Genomic DNA, 5,767 nt, shown 5'->3' with positions numbered 1-5,767 from the left:
GAGTCCTGGCTCTCAGCTCTCTCGCACTTCCTGATTTCCGTCTCTCGCTCTCTCTTTCTCTCTTAAAGAGACAGAGGCAACTCGGTGCAGCCACCAGCTCAGCAGAAAAGAGAAAGAGGATGCTCTGAGTTCCCAAGGGTAGGCAATAGGACCAGAGTGTGAGCCACAGAGAAGCCAGGAACTGGGGCCCTTCTGGTAATCTTGATGGGCAGCTGGGTGCTGTTTTGGCATCTCCCACAGTTCACTGGAGCAGGGAAGTTCAGGGCTCTTCCCAGAGTCAACAGAGCAGGTTGGGCAAGTTAACTAAGTGGAAAGCTGCCTGGGAAGTCCATGCTCCCACACCCAGGAACCCCAAGGAAGTGTGGGAGCTATGCCGATCCAGTCCTAGAAGTTGGATCTGAGTCACCTTCCCAGGAGGCCTGCAGAGGTCCGAGAGCAAGCGCGGGGACCCAGCTGATGCCTTCCAGTGTGACCTGAGCACACAGCATGCAGCCCCTCCCAGCCAGCTCACTCACCCGCAGAGTAACAGCTACTCTGTGGGTTGATTGGATGACATGGATATATTTGGAATTGTTTGGGAGCTTGGAAAGCATTTTACAGAAAGGCATTGAAGGCATGGAGGCCCACACACTTCAGTAATTTACCCATGCTCTTCAGAGACTGCTGGGGCTGGCACCCAGGTGCCAACTTCCCAGCCAGGACTCGATGCCCCACATCAAATGTCCTAGGAGGCTGGAGGGGTCTGTCCTGCTCTGGTCAGCTCAGAGATGGCAGTTGGATATGAAATGGTTAAAACCAGGAAATTCCATGTTTCTATAGAATGTTGGAGGGACTTTCCCATGGCCACACCTGGTGGTTTCCTCCGCCAGCCCCACCCCTCCCACAGTGACACTAGAACAGGAGCAGAGCTGAGAACTGCCTAGTGCTCAGATAAAGAGAACTCCCCATAACACCTCCAGCTGGAGGAGTTGCTGCAACTTCTCACATCAGGACCAGGAGGAATGTGCCTGAGTGCCTGAGATCCTCATGTTCCACCCAGTCTTCCCAGCTTGCTTTTTTTTTTTGAGATGGAGTCTCACTCTGTCACCCAGGCTGGAGTGCAGTGGCATGATGTTAGCTCACTGCAACCTCCACCTCCTGGGTTCAAGTGATTCTTCTGCCTCAGCCTCCCAAGTATCTGGGACTACAGGCATGCACCACCATGCCCGGCTAACTTTTTGTATTTTTAGTAGAGATGGGGTTTCACTGTGTGGTTGGTGAGGTGGATTGAACAGGTTGGACTTGATCTCCCAACCTCCTGATCCACCTGCCTCAGCCTCCCAAAGTGCCGGGATTACAGGCGTGAGCCAGTGGCTAATTTTTTGTATTTTTAGTAGAGATGGGGTTTCACTGTGTGGTTGGTGAGGTGGATTGAGCAGGTTGGTCTAGATCTCCCAACCTCCTGATCCACCTGCCTCAGTCTCCCAAAGTGCCGGGATTACAGGCGTGAGCCACTGCACCCAGCCTAGTCTTCCCAGGTTTCTGCCTGCCTGGCACATGGGAGAACTGCACATCCTAGTTACTTTGTGATAGGGGGAGCATGTGAGTTCCCCACCAAAGCATTTATTTCCTGATGCAAGACCCTCCCAGAACTCTGCTTTCTGGCAGTGTGATTCTGTTAGTCTGGGTCCTTGAGTGACTGTCCTGAGCAGAGTTCCCCTGCTGGTCCACAAGGGACATTGGCTTTGGTGAGAAATCAGCCTTTGTTGCTTTAGGGCACCGAGGTTTGCTACATAACTTAGACAATCCGTAATGTTTACCCACTTTTTTCCCTGATGAACCTGCTGGGTCCTCACCAGCACTCTTACTTTCCTCTCTCCGTCAATCTCTTTCCCAGCATATTTAGCACATTCAAAGGAAACTACCATGTGTCTAGCACCTGCTATGAGGCAGGCACTGTGTGCTCAGGATGTAAAGGTGGGCATCCCATCAGGAGCCTGGAGGTCCAGGATGGCATGGCAGATGCTATGAGTGGCAGACGCGCAGCGGGGAGGAAGGTGATCAAGAAGGGCTTTCCAGAAGGGTTGCTTGGCCAGACTTTAGGAAAAGGGGAGTTGGGCAGAGGAGAGGGGGCTGGGGGAATGGAATTCCAGGCTGTGGGCACATGTGCAGAGGCACAGAAGCATGAGAAGAGCCGGACTGAGGCTGTGAAAAGGGAGAGAGGTAGAGGTGGCCTGGAGCCATGTGCCGTGACAGATCAAGTTTCCTTGCGCATCCTCTGTGAGGTCACATCCTCTGTGTGGACACAGTGAAGCAATGTCTTGCCTGTGCCCCAGCCGGGCAGCACAGCCGGTTGCATCCGAGAAGGTGCAGGGGGCTGGCGGGCTCCAGAAGGGAAGAGGAAGTCTGTAAGAGTCCCCACCACGTGTTCCCAAGTGGCTCTGAGGAGTCCTAGAAATAGAAGTGGCAATCCAAGGGTAGTGCAAGGACCAGAGGTGGAAGAGGGCGGCCCTTGACAGCAGCTGTCAGAAAGAAAATCTCATGTGACTTCTACAAAGAGGCTGAAAGTATAGTAAGAAGGGCAGGGGCTAGCTCCATTGCCATGGAGGTTTGAGTTCAGATTTTACCACCTACTGTGGATGACCCTAGCACGTCACTCGACGTTTCTCATAGGGCTGGTTTGAAAGTAAAATGAGATGAAGCTCCTGGCACCTGGTCTGCTCTGAAAAGATATTAATTTCTTTTTCCACCTCTAAGGGGCCTGAGCCAGTTTTTCACAACTGACTCGCCGGCCCAGTGCCTTAAAGGGGAGGGGAAAGGACTCGGGTGCTGGTTGGGGTGCATATGGAAGAGGCTGGGGGGCATTGCCAGGCCATACGTTTTTGCTGTGCTCAGTCACAAGGGCAAAGGGCTGAGGGACGAGGTCTCAGAGCCCAGCTCTTTGTCACCTTCAGGGGTCAGCTCTGGCTAGGAGCTTTGGGTGCAGAAGGAGGGACAAACACTGCAGCCAATCTTGCTGCTATGGCCCCAAGCAGTGGGACAAGCTGTGAGGCAGCATCCAGGCCACTGAAGGAAATCGGCGCCGGTGCCAGCGTCGTCTCTCTTCGAGGAAAAGCAAGTGTTTCTCTCATTGTCTTCACTCTTCAAACCTCCTCTGCACTGTTCCCTCCTACACTGTCAGCTAAGGACCTTGCCTTAAACTTCGCTTAGATAAAAGAAGCAATCAGAAGGGAACCCCCTCATTTCCTCCCCCACATCCACTGCCTGCCCTGTGTCTGTACTCACCTGCCTTCCCTCCCACGCGACAGCAGGAAGTGCCTCTTCTTGAGCCTCTTCTAGTGGCCATGGCCAACCCTCCCGCTTGTACCCTGCAGCTCACCCTCTCCTCTCCTGCACATTCTTCCCGTTCTACTGCATCCTGCCCACCCCACCAACAAATGCACCTCTGCACTGCCCATCTTACCCTTGTCTCTCGATGCTCCCCATTCAACGAGTTGTCAAGTTACTGCCTCTTCCCTTCCCATTTGCCACCTAACCCACTCCAGTTGGACTCATTCCCCCTCTGCTGAAAATGCTCTTGTCCAATGATTCCCTTTCTATGCCACCCTCACCTTACCCCATTGGCATTCAACAGCAGATTCCCTGCTTTGTTGAAGCATTGTCCTCTCCTGCTGTCTGTGACCCTGTGCTTTCCCAGCCATCTACCTCATTGCCACTTGCTCATTCTGCCTTCTTTGCTGGCCCCCTTCCTCTGATGCATTTCTTTTTTTTTTTCTTTTCTTTCTTTTTTTTGAGACAGTTTCACTCTTGTTGCCCAGGCTGGGGGGCAATGGCGTGATCTTGGCTCACTGCAACCTCCACCTCCCGAGTTCAAGCGATTCTCCTGCCTCAACCTCCTGAGTAGCTGGGATTACATGCATGTGCCACCACGCCCAGATACTTTTTTTTTTTTTTGTATTTTTAGTAGAGGCGGGGTTTCTCCATGTTGGTCAGGCTGGTACCGAATTCTCGACCTCAGGTGATCCACCGCCTTGGACTCCCAAAGTGCTGGATTATAGGTGTGAGCCACTGCGCCCTCCCCCTCTGCTGCATTTCTAATGATCGGGACCTTCTCTTTTTTCCATCTCCACGCTCTTCCTGGGAATCTCTGTTTGAATACATCTATAATGTAATAGCTCCTAATACGTTTTCAGGTATTATCTACCCCCAGAACTCCAAATTCATACATCCAAGGGTCTACCTGATATTTCCACTTAGATGTCTACCAGTCATATCAGCCTTGCCAGATCAAGCAGAATACTTCATTTCCTGAACAACTCCTATCTTATTAGTTTCATTTTCAGGGTAATACTCATTTTGCTTCTTTATCTGTCCTTCCTCATTAGAAAGCTCCATTAGCTCTTTTTTTTTTTCTGTTCAGTACCATATGACAGTGCTTGTACAGAGAGAAGCTTAATGTTGATTGACTAAATGACTGTCTTTAGTATATATAATATGCCAAGGTTGCTAACTCCTGAGTAAAAGGAAACGTCATATACCTATGAATATAAATCAGGGGATTCCAATCTTTTGGCTTCTCTGGGCCACATTGGAAGAATTGTCTTGGGCCACACATAAAATACACTAACACTAATGATAGCTGATGAACTAAAAAAAAATTGCAAAAAAACTCAATATTTTAAGAAAGTTTATGAATTTGTGTTGGGCCACATTCAAAGCCATCCTGGGCTGTGGGTTGGACAAGTTTGATATAAACATTTAGGTTAGATAGTCTTAAAAGACTGTTTCCTAAATTCACATACATCTGGTCTCCATTTTTGGTTTCTATCTGGAAGGAATGGACTTGTGTTTTGACAGTGTTCATTGCCACTAGTTTCCATCCAGCCCCCATCAGGACATATGAGATAAAAAGAACCATATATGGATAAAGAGGACCTAAAAAGCATAGCCTGCCTTTGCCTCAGGACCCTCTGAAAAGGGGCTCTTTGGTCCCCTGCTCACAGCCTACAAACTGGCTCCATGTCGCAGCTATTATGGGGTGCTCCTGGCCATCCCCATTCTCCCTGCAGTCAGGGAGAACTCATTCCTACCACAGAGTGGCACAGCAGCCTTGGCCTTGACTTACCCAAGGCCAAGGGCCCAGCAAGAGAAGCTCAAGATGTAGCTGTTCCATGAAAACAGGGGAAGGGAAGAGACAGTAGGCTGGAAGGGCATAGCAGAGCTGAATAGAAGATATATGAATAACGGATAGGGATGATAAACCTAAGAAGGGGTTGTAAAGTGTTCTGTCTAGAGCTGGGGGTAGGATTCCTTGCATTACCACTGAACATAGGGTACCCACTTGGAGAGATGTGATCCATCCCCAGGGGCATCTTTTATTAGAACAAGCCTGTTAAAAATAAGTGTTGGCCCTAGGGGCTCTAGGATTTGTTTGAAGTTGTTACCTTGAAATAACTTCACCCTTGAACTTAAGCTCTGCTAGACTCACAATCTGTAGGAGAGAAAACATCACCTGTATCCCCCACTCCCACCAACAGCACAAGCATATTGGTCAGCTTTTCTCCCAGAGGCAGAGGGCTGTCAAGGGCAGAATGACTCAGGGCTTTGGTTGTGGAAGAAAGAGAATCTCTAGTCACCCTTGGTTGTAGCTTGCCAAGTTTCTAAGCAACTTCTTAGGCCCCACTCCCTGAAGTGAGGAAATCTGACTAGAGATAGAAATGAGAACAGTCCTTATTGAAAACAAGGAAGGTGGATTCTGTGAAGGAAACGGTTCTCATGGCAACAGGCA

General features: G+C 49.9%; 5 annotated features.

Annotated features, from left to right (window-relative positions):
* Nucleotides 453-1,090: an enhancer, noted in NCBI's record as "H3K27ac-H3K4me1 hESC enhancer chr1:206642729-206643366 (GRCh37/hg19 assembly coordinates)". NCBI's record gives its function as "activates a minimal SCP1, AML or CMV promoter by ChIP-STARR-seq in primed H9 embryonic stem cells {active_cell/tissue: H9 hESC(primed)}" and the evidence as "EXISTENCE:reporter gene assay evidence [ECO:0000049][PMID:30033119]".
* Nucleotides 624-933: an enhancer, noted in NCBI's record as "active region_2399". NCBI's record gives its function as "activates an Ori minimal core promoter by ATAC-STARR-seq in GM12878 lymphoblastoid cells {active_cell/tissue: GM12878}" and the evidence as "EXISTENCE:reporter gene assay evidence [ECO:0000049][PMID:35858748]".
* Nucleotides 1,765-2,628: an enhancer, noted in NCBI's record as "H3K4me1 hESC enhancer chr1:206641191-206642054 (GRCh37/hg19 assembly coordinates)". NCBI's record gives its function as "activates a minimal SCP1, AML or CMV promoter by ChIP-STARR-seq in primed H9 embryonic stem cells {active_cell/tissue: H9 hESC(primed)}" and the evidence as "EXISTENCE:reporter gene assay evidence [ECO:0000049][PMID:30033119]".
* Nucleotides 2,629-3,490: an enhancer, noted in NCBI's record as "H3K4me1 hESC enhancer chr1:206640325-206641190 (GRCh37/hg19 assembly coordinates)". NCBI's record gives its function as "activates a minimal SCP1, AML or CMV promoter by ChIP-STARR-seq in primed H9 embryonic stem cells {active_cell/tissue: H9 hESC(primed)}" and the evidence as "EXISTENCE:reporter gene assay evidence [ECO:0000049][PMID:30033119]".
* Nucleotides 4,242-4,461: an enhancer, noted in NCBI's record as "active region_2398". NCBI's record gives its function as "activates an Ori minimal core promoter by ATAC-STARR-seq in GM12878 lymphoblastoid cells {active_cell/tissue: GM12878}" and the evidence as "EXISTENCE:reporter gene assay evidence [ECO:0000049][PMID:35858748]".

The sequence above is a fragment of the Homo sapiens genome, chromosome 1 (assembly GCF_000001405.40).
Source record: "Homo sapiens chromosome 1, GRCh38.p14 Primary Assembly".
Lineage (NCBI taxonomy): Eukaryota > Metazoa > Chordata > Mammalia > Primates > Hominidae > Homo > Homo sapiens.
Note: the sequence above shows the minus strand (reverse complement) of the source record. Positions and strands in the feature narration are given on the sequence as shown.